General features: G+C 43.7%; 1 long non-coding RNA gene and 1 pseudogene across 2 annotated transcripts in view; one reads left to right on the top strand and one right to left on the bottom strand.

The window, feature by feature from the left end:
- Positions 1-1,865: 1,865 nt before the first annotated feature.
- The window catches only part of LOC124901404 (uncharacterized), a 39,387-nt gene continuing 23,959 nt past the window's right edge, over positions 1,866-17,293 (bottom strand). The window contains exon 3 of the long non-coding RNA XR_007059774.1: positions 1,866-3,548. This is a non-coding gene — a long non-coding RNA (uncharacterized LOC124901404). The remainder of the gene's footprint in view (positions 3,549-17,293) is intronic.
- Positions 5,619-9,337, top strand: HMGA1P7 (high mobility group AT-hook 1 pseudogene 7; annotated as a pseudogene). The gene is made up of 2 exons (NR_037938.1): positions 5,619-5,755; positions 7,275-9,337. The product of NR_037938.1 is annotated as a high mobility group AT-hook 1 pseudogene 7 (transcript).

Raw genomic sequence — 17,293 nt, 5'->3', positions numbered from 1 at the left:
AGATCATGCCACTGCACTCCAGCCTGGACAACAAGAGTGAAACTCCATCATAAAAAAAATTAGATCTACAACCAAGAATAAATTAAGTAGCAATACAAAGCTGGTATATGACCAAATGTTAAAATAAAAACTATCAATAGTAGAGCCATAAGAGTTTAGGGAGAGACAGGATATAGCAACTAAGGTAACACCTGGAAAGTCATTCAAAGGTGTGATTCCAGAATTTCTTTTAATGACCAGGGGGAGCTCTGAATGTTTTTGAGCAGGGAACTGATGATAGAACTAGTACAGTCATGTCTCGCTTAACCAAAGGAACATGTTTTGAGAAATGTGTCATTAGGTGATTTCATAGTTGTTTGAACATTATAGAGTGCACTTATACAGACTGATGGTATGGCCTGTTACACACCTGGATTATATGGTATAGCCTATTCCTCCTAGGCTACAAACCTGTACAGCATGTTACTATACTGAATACTGTAGGCAATTGTAACACAATGGTAAGTATCTGTGTGTCTACACATATCTAAACATAGAAAAAGTACAGCAAAAATACAGAAGAAAAGATAAAAATGATGGTACACTATATAGGGCCCTTACACGAATGGAGCTGGCAGGACTGGAAGTTGCTCTGGGTGAATCAGTGAGTGAGTGGTGAGTGAAGGTGAAAGCCTAGGAATGACATTACCATGCACTAATGTAGACATTATAAACACTGTACACTTAGGCTATACTACATTTATAAAAATATATTTTTCTTCTTTTTTTTTTTTTTTTTTTTTTTGAGACACAGTCTTGTTCTGTTGCCCACCAGGCTGGAGTGCAGTGGCCCTATATCAGCTTACTGCAAACTCCACCTCCTGGGTTCAAGCGATTCTTGTGCCTCAGGCTCCCGAGTAGCTGGGATTACAGAGGTGCACCACCACACCCGGCTAATTTTTGTATTCTTATTATTTATTTATTTATTTATTTATTTATTTTGAGATGGAGTCTTGCACTGTCATCCGGGCTGGAGTACAATGGCACAATCTCAGCTCACTGCAACCTCCGCCTCCCAGGTTCAAGCAATTCTCCTGCCTCAGCCTCCCGAGTAGCTGGGATTACAGGCGCTCGCCACCAAGCCCAGCTAATGTTTTTGTATTTTTGGTAGAGATGGGGTTTCACTATGTTGGCCAGGCTAGTCTCGAACTCCTGACCTTGTGAGCCACCCACCTTGGCCTCCCAAAGTGCTGGGATTACAGGCGTGAGTCACCGCACCTGGCCAATTTCTGTATTTTTAGTAGAAATGGGGTTTCACTGTGTTGGCCAGGCTGGTCTCAAACTCCTGACCTGAGGTGATCCGCCTGCCTTGGCCTCCCAAAGTGCTGGGATTACAGATATGAGCCACTGCACCTGGCCAGAATATATTTTTCTTTCTTCAATTATTTATTATTATTATTATTTCTTCAGTAATAAGTTAACATTAGCTTACTCATTTTTATTTCATAAAAGTTTTAGACTTTTTTGTAGGTAACGCAGCATAAAACACAAACGCATTGTATAGTAGTATAAAAATAGTTTCTTTCTTTGTATTTTTATTCTATAAGCTTTTTCTATTTTGAAATTGTTTTATTTTTATTTTTTACTCTTTAAACATTTTATTAAGCATTAAGACATGAACACACACAATAGCCTAGGCCTAGACAGGGTCAGGATCATTGATGTCACTGTCTTTCATCTCCACATCTTGTCCCACTGGAAGGTCTTCAGGAGCAATAACATGCATGGAGCTACCTTTTCTTTTCTTTTTTTTTTTTTTGAGACAGAGTCTTGCTCTGCTGCCCAGGCCGGACTACAATGGCATGATCTTGGCTCACTGCAACCTCCACCTCCCGGGTTCAAGCAATTCTCCTGCCTCAGCCTCCCAAGTAGCTGGGATTACAGGCGTGTGTCATCACACCCAGCTAAATTTTTATATTTTTAATAGAGGCAGGGTTTCACCATGTTGGCCAGGCTGGTCTCAAACTCCTGACCTCAGGTGATCCACCCACCTCGGCCTCCCAAACTGCTGGGATTACAGGCGTGAGCCACTGCGCCTGGCCTGGAGCTGCCATTTCTTATACCAGTGCCTTCTTCTATAATACCTCCTAAAGGACTTGCCTGAAGCTGTTTTATAGTTAACTTTTTTTAAAGTAAGAGTACATTCTAAAATAACAATAAAAAGTATAGTATAATGAATACATAAACCAGTAACATAGTCATTTGTTATCCTTATCAATCATTATGTACTGAATGTACATAATTGTTGGTACTATATTCTATATGACTGACAGCTCAGTAGGTGTGGTTTTTTTGTTTGTTTGTTTGTTTGTTTTTTTGAGATGGAGTCTCACTCTGCCGCCCGGGCTGGAGTGCAGTGGCACGATCTCCACCCACTGCCAGCTCCGCCTCCCGGGTTCAAGCCATTCTCCTGCCTCAGCCTCCCGGGTAGCTGGGACCACAGGCGCCTGCCACCACGCCTGGCTAATTTTTTGTATTTTTAGTGGAGACGGGGTTTCACTGTGTTAGCCAGGATGGTCTCGATCTGCCCGCCTTGGCCTCCCAAAGTGCTGGGATTACAGGCGTGAGCCACCGCGCCGGGCCTCAGTAGGCGTGTTTATACCAGCATAACCACAAACATGTGAGTAATGTGTTGTGCTACAATGTCACTAGGTAATAGGAATTGTTCAGCTCCATTATAATCTTAGGGAACCACTGTTGCATATGAGGTCCGTCATTGACCAAAACAATGCAATATGGCACATGACGCTGTTCTAGGACAATTAGCCTTCTGGCAATCTATAGGATGGATTAGTTTGGGGATAGACTGGAGAAGAGAGACTAATTGGGATGCTGTAATTATGAACAGCTGTGATGATAAGGACCTGGACATAACTGACTCCAAAGTAGTCAGGATCAAAAGTCAACTTGGCAAAAGATATTCTATCAGACTTCTACTTTGTGACATCCACACGAAGATAACAATACATGTTTCTGTAAAATGGACAAATGAGTATGTGTGCCCACAACCAACATTTGCTCCTGCTCTCTGGCAATCTCAGTCATTTCTTTGTGTTTAACTTAGGATGTTATGAAATCACACTTTTAAATATTTCATTTCCACCTGTTGAAAAATTGTCCTTCTAAATATGAAATGAGTTGAAGATATCACAAATATTTGACAAATAACAAGCACTTGTATCTAGTTCCAATCTCACATGGAAGAGAGGTTCAGAACAGAATTTTGATCCCTGTTATAGATTGAATATTTTTTCCCCTCAAAATTCACATGTTGAAATCTAATCTCCAGTGTGATGGTACTTGGAGGTGGGACTTTGGGAGGTAATTAGGTCACAAGGGTGGAGCCCTCATGAAGGGGATTAGTGACCTTATAAGGAAAGGCCAATGACCTACCTTTTTTCTTTCCATAATTTGATGATACAGGAAGTCAGTGTCTGCAACCAGGAAGAAGATCCTCACTAGAACCTGCATCTGCTGGCACTCTGATCTTGAACTTCCAGTCACCAGAACTGAGAAAGAAACATCTGTTGTTTATAAGTCATTCAGCTGATGGCATTTTGTTATAGTAGCTTGAGTGGCTAAGACAACACCCATGCCACAAATGCAATGGACTCATTTACTCAGTCTGCAGAAACATGAACTGAAATGCTCAAGGAATGTAGTTGTTCTAATTGGTTCAACAGTCTGCTTAAATGTGAGCCAAACCTTTCACTTTTTAAACTTATATCATTAATAATTTTCCAAAAGATACTTTTCCTAAATATAGTTTTATGTCCTTGTTATAAAGAAAAGTATACTTTTCTCTTCCCTCAATTTGTTAACTAGCAATACCTCAGGTTATAATAGAGTTGACCATATAACCTATTGTGATGGTTAATTTTAGGTGTTAACTTGACTGGATTAAGGAATGCCTAGAAACTTGCTAAAGTATTATTTATGGGTGTGTCTGTGAGGGAGTTTCCAGAGTAGATTAGCAAGTGAGTCTGAGTGCACTAGGTGGGGAAGACCCACCTTCCATGCGGGCCGGCACCATCCAATCTGCTGGGGGCCCAGAAAGAACAAAACAGGGAAAGGTGAGTATGTCCATCCATTCCATCTGCTGCTGGAGTTGGGATACACTCTTCTTTTCTCCTGTCCTTGGATAACAGCTCCAGGTTCTCTGGCCTTTGGATTTCAGGACTTATACCAGTGACCCCCACAACCCTCAGGTTCTCAGGCCTTTGGCCTTGGACAGAAAGTTACACTATCAGCTTCTTATTTTTGAGGCCTTTGAACTTGGACTGAGCCATATTATCAGAGTCTGGAGACTCTGAGCATCCCAGAGTCTCCAGATTGCAGATGGCCTGCAGTTGGACTTACACTCCATAATTGCATGCACCAATCTCCCCAATAAATCCCCTGTGATAGATCTATATTTTTATTTTTATTTTATTTTTATTTTTGAGATAGGGTCTCACTTTGTAGCCCAGGCTGGAGGGCAGTGGCACCATCTTGGCTCACTGCAACTTCTGCCTCCTGGGTTGGAGCGATTCTCCTGTCTCAGCCTCCCAAGAAACTGGGATTACAGGTGTGCACCACCCCGCCTGGCTAATTTTTGTATTTTTAGTAGATAAGGGGTTCACCATGTTGGCCAGGCTGGTCTCAAACTCCTGACCTGAAGTGATCCACCCGTCTGGGCCTCCCAACGTGCTGGGACTACAGGTGTGAGCCACTGTATCTGGCCATACATCTATCTATATCATCAGTCTACGTCTATAACTATATATTTACATCCTATTGGTTCTGTCCCTCTTGGAGAATCCTAACACACCTATTGTTCAAATTGGGACAATTTTGAGAGTGAAAGGAGGTGGGACAAATGGATGAACTGCAAGAGTCCTCAGATCAGTGGGCATGATAGGATTCCCTTGGGGCTCCTCTGATTACATCCACTATAAAGTGCCATATGGGCATCACATCCTCCATTGGTTTGGTTTCTCCTTCCGTTCAATTTGGCCCACTGTTCTTCTAACTGCTTTCCTCTGGCTTTGAGGATTTGCTGTAATACACAACTTCCTGAGCTTAGAAATCTCAAACTGGCCCCTTGACTTTGTATACATCATCAAATCTATGTCAACCATAGAAGAGGAATCTGTTCCTTACTCAGCTGCCTCAAAAAAAAAAATCATCATGGGAATCAAATGAGATAACAATAGCATGAAAGTGTTTGAAACCATAAAGTGTTATACAAATAAAGAGATGCTGGTAAGGGCAGTAGAGAAAATGTGAGGGTAGGTATGGTTTTCTTGAGTTGCTGTTTAGGTGAGGCAGTTCAGCCTGTTTGTAGGGTGATAGGAGGGAGCTTCTCTGCATTATTCAAGCCAGTGGTGCTCTTAGGATAGTGCGTTAATTATACACTTCCAATTTGCCAGAGGCAGAGGCATATTCAGGCTCAGTTCACAGAGTCTGCTGTAAGGATGCATTGAGAAGCGAGGGAGATGGGAGGCCTATGAGCAGCTGCACAGCCAGGTTTCCCAGAGAAAGAAGTCATCATGGAGCACACAACAGAGCTCTAGAGGTCTGCCAGCCTCTCTGGAGCCAGATGCAACCCCAGGAGACGTCCCTGTGGCAGCCAGTGTCAGCTGCTTCCTTCCCCAGCGTTTTGCTTCAGCCCTCACTCCTCAGCCACTTCCACTGCTCCTGTGGTTAGTGACCGCCTCTGCCTCCTCCACTACCCGTGAGTCTTGTTTATTCACAGATTCTGTGCCTCTTGGTCTCTGCTTACAGCAATTCTTTGTGTGCTTAACTTCTGTGTCACTGTGACATTTCTAAATGTCTCTCATTCAGGCGCCTCAAAGGAAGGGCTCTGGTGGGTTATGTCGCCATCTATTACAGAATACTCCTTGGCTAGAGCTCTGGTACCAAGTACTTTTGGAGATTATTGGCTAGATAATAGATAGCTGACTCCTGGTATGTCAGTCATACAAAAAAAAAGGGTTACTTATGTGTTAAAAATCTTCAGCTATTTGCTTTAAGGGTGGTCTTGTACAATGGAACTCTAAGCAGTACTATTTCATGTTACATTAATTCATTTTCCTTTAAGACTGTAGTTATATTACTTTATCTCATTTATTTTAAACTTGTAAGCCTTTCATATTTTTAGGTCTTAGCAATTTCATACTCTCAACGTGCACCTAAAATGATCAGTGTATCATCTTTGAATATGACCATCGTTTCTTTATAAAAAAATCTAATTATAATTGATCTTCTACTATACTAAACATTTTATTTATATTCATCTCTCATTTAATTTTCACAACCTAAGTAGAAGGTAGGTATCATTAACCTCATATTGCAGATGAAGAAAGTGAGTCTTACAAAAATTAAATAACTTAAGATTATAGAGTTAGGATTTCAACTCAATTCTGATTCCACAGCTCATGACATTTCCTTTTTTATCATGGTAACTTTCAGGTTTTATACCCCAGTCTCTTTTTTGTTTTTGTTTCTGTTTTTGTTTTATTTTTTATTTTATTTTATTTTATTTTTTGAGATGGAATTTCCTTCTTGTTGCCCAGGCTGAAGGGCAGTGGTGCAATCTAGGCTCACCGCAACCTCTGCCTTCTGGGTTCAAGCGATTCTCCTGTCTCAGCCTCCCAAGTAGCTGGGATTACAGGCATGGGCTGCCATGCCCGGCTAATTTTTTGTATTTTTAGTAGAGACAGGGTTTCTCCATGCTGGTCAGGCTGGTCTCGAACTCCTGACCTCAGGTGATCCGCCTGCCTCAGCCCCCCAAAGTGCTGGGATTACAAGTATGATCCGATCCGCTGTGCCCGGCTTCCAGTCTCTTTTATTTATCTTTATTTTTCTCTCATGTCTCCTGAGATCTGTGTTTTGTTTTGTTTTGTATTATGATGTCAGAATATATGCAGTGCTGTAATTCTATACAAAAAGTTTCTGAGGTCGGGCACATGTGGCTCATGCCTGTAATCTCAGTACTTTGAGAGGCTGGGGCCGGAGGATCACTTGAGGCCTCAAGTTTGAGACCAGCCTGGACAACATAGCATATAAATAACAACAACAGCAAAATAACCTGAGATCTTGTCTCAGTTTAATACTGTGATAGTTAATCTATGTGATTTTGGCATTTCACTTTTATTTCTCAATTACAATTTTAGTGCAAAAATATAAATTAATTATCTATTTTATCTCCTCCTGTACCACAACCTTTAGCTTATTTCCTCTTTACCCTATAGGGACAGCTTGGTGAATACTTCCAGGGAAAATTCTGCTTAAATTCCGCTGGTGGCATGCCCATAAGCATTTCCAGATCTGAAGGCGCTTGCGCCTTTCCTAGTACTCTACTGTCCACAGGGCCACAGAGTCTCAACTGCTGGATATTGTCCAAGTCCTCTTCATTGCAGCTGTGATGGCTACACGGCCAGGCCTGGCTCGGAGGCACAAAGCCGGTTTTTTGTGTGACCACAGAAAGGTCATCCCAACACTGAATTTTATCACCCCTTGGGGAGATGCTAACATAGGAGTCAAAATAGCGAAGGTTTAAGGTGAGAGGCGCGCTCCCGGTTACAGGTATCCGTGGTCATTCTTCTGAATCTCTAGAAATCGGACTCAGGCGCTCCTCTCTTTGGGGCTCCTCGCAGGCGACTGCATTTGCTGCGCGGCGCGGCCAGGCGGGTCCTTAGCGCCGGCACCGTCGCCCTCGGCATCCCACAGCGCGCAGCGCAGCCACCGCTCTTCTCTCCCACCTGCTCCGTGCAGAAGGGAAGAAGAGCCAGTCGAGCTGGAGGTCCAGCCAGCCCTTGGCCTCCAAGAAGGAAAAGGACGGCGCTGAGAAGCGAGGTGGGGGCAGCTCCACGTCCGAAGGAGCCCAGCACGTGCTAACACCTAAGACCCTGGGCAACCGAAAGGAAGCAAACCCCAGGATGCTGCCACGACCCGGAAAACCACCACAGCTCCAGGAGGGAAAGCAAAGGGCCGGCCCAAAACACTGGGAAGGAGGAAGAGGGAGCATCTCTCGGGAGTCCTCCCGGGAGGAGCCACTTCCTTCTGGGACCGGACAGTTTTGCTCACCCCCATTGCCCCTGTCCTTCCCCCAGGCCACCGTCACCTGCACCGCCCACCTGCGTCCTCACCACCGCGGCAGGGCCCCTGTTGGCCCAGTGACAGCAGTGTTCCTCTGGCTTCAGTTCCCAGCCACGCACACACTTGCCCTCCTGGACGAGGGTAACAGCCCACTTCACGCTGCTGCACCTGCTGCGGCCCCACTCCCTTGTTGGTGGGGACTTTGCTTTCTGGGTTTCTGCTTTGGGGGCTCCTTCTCGGCTCCTCCACTGTTTCCTCTGACTTCCCAGAGGGCTCCCCGGCCATAAAAGAGGCCCAAGCCCCATCTCATTCTGGCATGTCCCACTCTATTGTCCTGGAGGCAGCACCTGTGGCCATTGGAGGGGGGTGCTCCCAGAATGCCCCCAGCCAACCTGTGTCTTTGTCACCACGTGGGGCTCACACATCCATCTTTCATCTTCCCCCACCTTTCCTAGTTCCTGCACCAGGTTGGACAGCTCCCTTTGTAGTACAGGAAGGCAGGCAGGGTTTGAGACCCCTACCCCATTTTCACAGGGGCCCCAGCTCCCTTGCCCTCAGCCTGGGCTCTGAGTACACATTGCAGTGATGGAGATGTAGAGTCACGGGTTGTTCAGGTGAGGCCCAGGTTCCCTGGGCAGCCACCTGAGGCCGCCTGGGGTTGCTCACCCAACCCTACCTGTTCCCACCACTCGGTCTATTTCCCCCTCCTCAGACAGGACACTAATAACAAGGAGCTTGCCCTGCAGGCTCCCAACCCTCCCGCTCTTCCCTACCCCACAGGGTTCTGGTTCCATCATTTCCTCTGTTCACAAACTATCACTGGACAGTTGTGTTGTCTCTTGTACAATGTTCCATTCTTCAACATCTATCATTGCTGCTGCTCCCAGCACCAAATGTTCACCCTCTGCCTCCTGCTCTGCACACATTCCCCTCCCTCAAGATAGCCTCCATGAGACAGGGGGTCTGCAGCTTGGCAGGCTGGCTGGGTTACTGACTATCCCAGTCCCAGGGAAGATAGGGCCCTGTCTCTAGGATGCTGCAGCAGAGTGAGGAGGGGCACTCAAATTGACCCTAAAGGGTGGAGGGGCCACCTTCTCCCCCTGTTTGGTTGGGGAATGGGTAGTTATTATTTGTCTCAGCTTGGGGCTCTGCCTCTAGCTTCCTACTTGCAGTTACTTAAGTTAAAAAAGAAAATCCTGTTCTAAAAAAAAAAAAAGAAAGAAAAAGAAATCTAATTCAAACTGGCCTGAATGGGACAAAAAAGAAAATAAAAAGAGAATTTTTGCTCATGTAATAAGCCATCAGATGGCTTTGCATCAGAGGCTTAAAGAATGTTCTAAAGTCAGTCTCTCTCTAACACTCAGCTCTGCTTCTGGCAGTGTGGGCTTCATTCTTTTTTTTTTTTTTTTTTTTTTTTTTTTTTTTTGAGACAGAGTCTTGCTCTGTCACTCCGGCTGGAGTGCAGTGCAGTGCAGTGGTGCAATCTTGGTTCACTGAAGCCTCCTCCTCCCAGGTTCAAGCAATTCTCGTGCCTCAGCCTCCCGAATAGCTGGGATTACAGGCGTACACCACCACGCCAGGCTAATTTTTGTATTTTTAGTAGAGACGGGGTTTCAACATTTTGGCCAGGCTGGTCTCGAACTCCTGACCTCAGGTGATCCACCTGCCTCGGCCTCCCAAAGTGCTGGGATTACAGGCGTGAGCCACTGTGCCCAGCTTGGGCTTCACTCTTAAGCAAAGTATCTCCATGTGTGATGAGATTCAGGCTCAGATGTTCTTGGCTGTAGGTCCAGAGAAAGGAGATAACTTCTCTTCTCCAAAATTGAAACAAAAGTCTGGTTTTGATTGGTCTGAATCACTTGCCTAACAGTGAGCAAATTGCTGCAGTTAGATGTTTGGGCTGTTTTGATAGGTGGATTCTGGCACTTCTCTATGCCTCTCTTCTTGTTTTGGAGCATGTTTTAAAGGGGAGAAATGTGCCAAAGAAAACCAGGGGCTTTCTGAAAAGAGGGGAAAAATTCTGCAGCTTTTTCTATTTGAGACTTTAAGTTATCTCTCAGGGTGGACACAAGGCCTTTGTACACATGGCCCCCACATGGGAAGAAATCTTGAGGGGAAATTATGACCTGGCTCACATGTAGGACCTGGAGATTTGTGGTTAAGCATTGGCAGCCCCTCTGGACTTCAGGATACGTTGAGGGACAGTGGCTGAGCTGGGGGTTTTATGTTGGAGCCTGTAATGGGTTGAATTGTGTCCCTTTGTCTTAGTCTGTTTTCTGCTGCTGGAACAGAATACCACAGACTGAGCAAATTGTAAAGAAAGTTTATTCAGCTCACAGTCCTGGAAGCTGGGAAGTCCACAGCATGGCACTGGCATTTGGCAAGGGTCACCCCATGGTGGAGGGGTGGAAGGCAGAAGCGAGCACAGGAGAGACAGAGGGGAAACTGAGCAGAAATCATTTTATCAGGAGCTCCCTCCTGCCCATCAAAACAGCCCAAACATCTAACTGCAGCAATTAACTAACTCACTCCTGTGATAGCAGCATTACTGCATCATGAGGTATATTAGTCCGTTCTCACGCTGCTATAAGGAACTGCCCCAGACTGGGTAATTTATAAAGGAAAGAGGGTTAATTGACTTACAGTTCAGCATGGTTTGGGGAGGCCTCAGGAAACTTACAGTCATGGCAGGAAGTGAAGGGGAAGTAAGGCACCTTTTCATGAGGTGGCAGGAAGGAGAAGTGCTGAGTGAGTGGGGAAGAGCCCCTGATAAAACCATCAGATCTGGGGAGAACGAACTCACTATCACGAGAACAGCATGGGGGAAACCACCCCTATGATTCAATTACCTCTACCTGGTCTCTCCCTTGACATGTGGGGATTATGGGGATTATAATTCAAGATGAGATTTGGGTGGTGACACGAAGCCTCACCATATCATGAGAACAGGGCCCTCATAACCTAATCACTTCTTAAAGGTCCCATGTCTTAATACTGTCATAATGAAAATTAAGCTACCAACACATAAACTTTGGGGCACATATTTAAACCATAGCACCCTTCCCCAGAATTCACATGTTTAAATCCTAACCGCAGTACCACAGAATGTGACCTTATTTAGAATAGAGCAGTTGCAGATGTCATTAGTTGAAGTCATACTGGAGTAGCGGGGACCTCTAACCCAATCTGACTGGTATTCTTATAAAAAGAGAAATGCGGAATGAGATATGCACACAGGAAGACTGCCATGTGAATACTGTAATTATGCAGTCATAAGCCAGGGAGCTACCAGGCCTGTAACAGATCCTTCCCTAGAGCATGCAGGCCCTGCTAACACCTTGATTTCTGACTCCTGACCTCCAAAACGATGAGACAATAAATTTCTGTTGTTCTAAGCCATGCAGTTTGTGGTAATTTGTTATGGCAGCCCCGAAAAACTAATACAGAGTCTAGAGTTGGTATGTGACTGTGACCTGCGAGAGACTGAGCTTTAGCCATCACTAGGCATCATTGCATTGGGAGATAAAAGTCCTGTGATTAAATGCAAGATAGGCTGGGCATAGTGGCTCACACTTGTAATCTTAGCACTCTGGGAAGCTGAGGCCAAGGCAGGAGGATCTTTTGAGGCCAGGAGTTCAAGACAAGCCTGGACAACATAGTGAGACCCCCGTCTCTACAAAAAAGAATTAGCGAGGCATGGTGGTGTGCAACTATAGTCCCAGCTACTCAGGAGGCTGAAGTGAGAGAATCACTTAAGCCCAGGAGTTTGAGTCTGCAGTCAGTGAGCTATGTTCACTCCACTGCACTTCAGCCTGGGTGACAGAGCAAGACTGTCTTGAATGAATGAATGAATGCAGGATTGGTGCTCAACAGGGACACCATGTGGCAGTTTTAAAAGAGCCTTTAGTGCCTGTGGGCTGACCAGCGCCACCTAGTGTTTGAAAGATGGATGACTTTTATAATTTAGGAGGAAAGGAGGGGAGGTGATTATATAGGATTGTATGGATCTCAAATCATTAATTGGAGAATTGCATATCTTTATCAAATAATTTTTTTTGAGGAAAAGTCTTGCTCTGTTTCCCAGGCTGGAGTGCAATGGCACGATCTCTGCTCACTGCAACTTCCACCTCCAGGGTTCAAGTGATCCTCCTGCCTCAGCGTCCTGAGTATCTGGGATTACAGGTGTGCGCCACCACACCTGGCTAATTTTTGTATTTTTAGTAGAGACGGGGTTTCACCACATTGGCCAGGCTGGTCTTGAACTGCTGACCTCAAGTAATCCACCTGCCTCAGCCTCCCAAAGTGCTGGGATTACGGGCATGAGCCATTGCGCCTGGCCTCGTTATCAAGTAAATTTTAAATATCCAATATGAAACATTGTTCAAGGTTCTGAGAATACATCTTTAAATAAGATAGATGAAGTTTCTGCTCTGGTGAAGCTTGAGAAATAGGACCCTGTTTCCCCAGTAAGCTGTATAATAGGTCATGTGCTACATGAGCCCTTCCAACTCCATATAGATCATGGGCCAAGGGAATTGTAATAGGCTAGAAAGCCTGAATCAGATTTGAATTTGTTGCAGTTTCTAAAAGTAAAGGCATCAATGTAATGTTTGTCATTTCTCAATGTAGGATGAAGTAAGGAGTTTTCATTCCTGGTTCACACCTTATTATTATTATAATCAATAAACATTTTTAAAGTTTTTGATCTGATTAGGTTATCTCTAACTAGTCTAGCCTAGTGGTTCTCAGTAAGAAGCAGCAAAATTTTCTGTGGTTTTTTTTTTTTTTTTTTTGAGAGGGAGTCTCACTCTGTAGCCCAGGCTGGAGTGCAGTGGCACGATCTCGGCTCACTGCAACCTCTGCCTCCCAGGTTCAAGGGATTCTTCCAAGTAGCTGGGATTATAGACACTCACCACCATGTCCAGCTAATTTTGTATTTTTAGTAGAGACAGGGTTTTGCCATGTTGGCCACACTTGTCTCAAACTCCTGACCTCAGGTGACTGGCCCACCTTGGCCTCCCAAAGTGCTACTAAAAATACAAAAATTAGCTGCACGTGGTGGCGGGCACAGTGGCATGCACCTGCAGTCCCAACTACTTGGGAGACTGAGGCAGGAGAATCTCTTTAGCTCAGAAGGCAGAGGTTGCAGTGACCTGAGATCACACCACTGCACCCCAGCCTGGGTGACAGAGCGAGACTCTGTCTCCAAAAAAAAAAAAAAAAAAAAATCTTTTATACCATATTTTTATTGTGTCTTTTCTATGTTTAGATATGTGTAGATGCACAAATACTTACCTTTATGTTACAATTGCCTGCAGTATTCATTACAGTAACATGCTGTACAAATTGTAGCTGTGGAGCAATAGACTACCACACACATCTAGTAGACCATCTAGGATTGTTTAAGTACATTCTATGATGTTTGCACAATGATGAAATCGCCTAATGACACATTTCTCTTAACGCTTCCTGTCGTTAAGCAATGCATGACTGTATTAAAAACTACTGATGCCTTGGTGGCGCATGCCTGTAATCCCAGCTACTCAAGAGGCTGAGGTAGGGATAATTGCTTGAACTGGTACCAGGGAGGTGGAGGTTGCAGTGAGCCGAGATCACGCCACTGCACTCCAGCCTGGGCCACAAAGAGAGACTCCGTCTCAAAAAAAAAAAAACAAACCTACTGATGCCTAGGTCTCATTCCCGCCCCCCACTTCACTCCATCCCAAGGTTCTCATTTAATTAGACTGGAGTGTGGCTTGTGCATCAGAATTTTGAAAGCTCTCCAGCTGATGCTAACTTTTAGCAACATTTGAGAACCATTATTCTAAGCCATGAAAATTCATTCAGTATTTTTCAGTTGTGGTTGACAAGATCAGAATTTGGTGTTAGGAAAATTAATTTGGCAACGATATCAAGAGTGGACTGAAGCCCAAAGAAGTCTCAGAGAGAAGTCACATAGGAGACTAATGCAGTAGAATAAAGTGAGATAATAAGGGCCTAAGGAGAAGATAGGTGTACTTGAGAATGCACATGTATTATATAAGTAACAGAACTTCAGTGCTGATTTCAGAGAAGCAAGTTTGATCATCTAATGACCTTGTTGACCAAACAATACTAAAATAACCTGTGCATCTAAATAAGGAGCTGCCTTTCCAATTGATAAGCTGATGCATCTCTGTTGTAAAAAAATATTTTATCAGTATTAATGCATATGTTAAATTTGACATTTCATAATGCAATTCATAGAATCTGCTGTTTGTTTACTATTCCAGAATTTTATTGCTGAGTTCTCAATTTAAATCTACAGGTATTTCTATTATCAGTGATGTGAATTATGATATAATAACTCTTGATAATTGATATGGTTTGTCTGTGTCCCTACCCAAATCTCATCTTGAATTCCCATGTGTTGTGGGAGGGACCCAAGAGAAAGTGATTGAATCATGAGGGCAGGTCTTTCCCATGCTGTTCTCATGACAGCAAATAAGGCTCATGAGATCTGATAGTTTTATAAAGGGGAGTTTCCCTACACAAGCTCCCTTCTCTTGTCTGCCACCATGTGAGATGTGCCTTTCACCTTCCCCCAGGATTGTGAGGCCTCCCTGGCCACGTGGAACTGTGAGTCCATTAAACCCTTTTCCTGTATAAATTACCCAGTCTCGGGTGTGTCTTTATTAGCAGTGTGAAAATGGACTAATACAATAATCAACAAAATGAGAATTATAGACATAAACTAAATATTTTAATATAATGATAGGCTAATTGCATTATAGCCATTGTTTTTCTTGCTATTGGTTTTTTGTTTGTTTGTTTTTGTTTTTGTTTTTGTTTAAGATAGGGTCTTGCTCTGGGCTCAGGTGATTCTCCTGCCTTAGCCTTCTGAATAGCTGGGGACCGCAGGCATGCACCACTGCACCCACCAATTTTTTTTTTTTTTTTTGGTAGAGACAGGGTTTCCCCATGTTGCTCAGGCTGGTCTTGAGCTCCTGGGTTCAAGCGATCCTCCTGCCTTGGCCTCCCAAAGTGCTGGAAGAAATTTTATAATTATAAAAATTAACAAGTTAAATTGATTTAAAATTGAAAAAATATTGGGAGGAGAAAATGGGAATTTGTTATTTAGTGGGTATAGAATTTTCTGGGGTTCAAATACCCTTTAGAGGTTTCCCATTGGTTACTTTGTGTACACCCTATGTAAATGAAGTAGTGCCCTGTGATCAGTCTGTTTGGTTGTGGACAGTGACCAATCAATCAGAGACTGAAGTGAAGTTACAAAGTTATACTCCTATGCAAATGAAGACCTGGCCCGGCGACCAGGCTGATTGGTTGTAGGAGGGGACCAGTCAGAGGTATTTTCAGTTTTTTATCTGCCACACAGAAAAGATGGGGGTTGCAAAGGGAGTAGCCTTTGGCTCTTTTGTTACTTGGGCATGGAAAGTTGGAGTTTTCCTTTTGATTTAGCTCTAGGAAGTCGGCGCAAATCAGCCTTACGTTCCCTGCCTCCAGACCCTTTTCTCCTGCCTCAGAAGGTAGAATGCTAAGCTGGTCCCCAAGGTTGCTGCCCCTTGACGTACACAACCTGTGTAATTCCCTCCTTTTGAGTATGAGACTGAACTGTAAATATAATAGAATAGTCACTCCTATGGCTAGATTACTGTAGTTGACTTTAAGAAAGGGAGGTTATATTCAGTTGGCCTGACCTAATCAGATGTGCCCTTGAAAAGGGACTGAGCTCTTCCTGGAGACAGAGATTTTAAATGTAAGAAGCCTCTAGCACAAGGAAGATTCTCTATTGCTGCCTTTAAAGACAAAGGGTACTACATGACAAGGGACTCAGAATGGCCCCTCAGAGCTAAGTATCGCCCTGGCTGACAACCAGCAAAAGAACAGGGACCACAGTCCTAAAACTACAAGGAAGTGAGTTCTGCCCATATCCTGAGTGAGATGAAAGAGGACCCTGAACTCCAGGTAAGGATGAAGCTGGTCCATCCTTGATTTCAGTCTTGTGAGAACCTGAGCAGACAACCCAGCTGCAAAGTGCCTGGACTTTTGACCTACACAGAACGGTGAACTGGTAAGTGGGTATTGTTTTAAGTCACTAAACTTGTGGTAATTTGTCATGCAGCAATAGAAAGTTAATTGAGCAATTAGTTTTCATAAGACTTCAATAATAGTCGTGTGTCTTTGAAATTAAAATCTGATTTGAAAAAAACATGAATGCTGCAGAGACTATATAAGGAAAAATATTGGCTGTAACTCAGTGTGTATACACATGACTCAGATTTTAGCAAAACAACATCTAGCACAAAAAGATCATCCAAAAATGTTTTGAGTGTGATATGGGAAATTTTACTCCCTTAGCAGAAACCGTAGCATAATTTTATATGAACATTTATACAGAAACTGAATGTTAATGAAATACAAAACCAAGTGATTCAAGTTATAGAAGATGGGATAAATAAAATAATTTTGGAGAGTTAGGAAATGCTAATTACTTAGTCATTTTAGATAAAACTCCTGATGTAAGTAAGCCATATAATTCAGATAATTATGTCTGGATTTGTAGATTCCCAAAATGCAAACATTTCTAGACTTGAACATTTGGGGGAATTTTGTCCAGTAGATTATAGGGCTGCTAATATGATGCTTTGATACTCTCATAATTGCTTCAAGTTTGGTGATTCACTAGAAGGACTTACAGGCTCAATAGCAGGTTATATTCATGGAGAAGATATCTCACAGCAATGAATACAGAGCAAAACAGCAGGAAAAATATATGTCCTGGTGAAATACAGATAGGCTAGAAAGGGCTTCTGAGTCCTTTCTCATATGAAGCTACAGAGAATGTGCTTTTTCACTCTTAATGAGCTTCATTGACATGTGTGGAGTATATATGCCCCGGAAAGCCATTCAGATCTCAGGGTTGGAAGCTTTTATGGGGTGCTGACCCTACAGGCATATCCTGCAATCAAACCAGCCATTGTAACTGAGACTCAGAACCTTGGCAATGAGAATGGGGGCACCTTATCTATCTTGATGTTTGTGCAAAGCAACCTGACAAGCTGGTATAGCATGGTCCACTGCTCTAGGTGTAAACAACAAAATCATCAATCACTAACATAAAGAACATTCTAAGGGCCACATTCCCAGGGGTTGGCCAAAGGCCAATCTTGGT

The sequence above is a fragment of the Homo sapiens genome, chromosome 6 (assembly GCF_000001405.40).
Source record: "Homo sapiens chromosome 6, GRCh38.p14 Primary Assembly".
Lineage (NCBI taxonomy): Eukaryota > Metazoa > Chordata > Mammalia > Primates > Hominidae > Homo > Homo sapiens.
The sequence above is the reverse complement of the archived record's forward strand: the minus strand, read 5'-3'. Positions and strand labels throughout refer to the sequence as shown.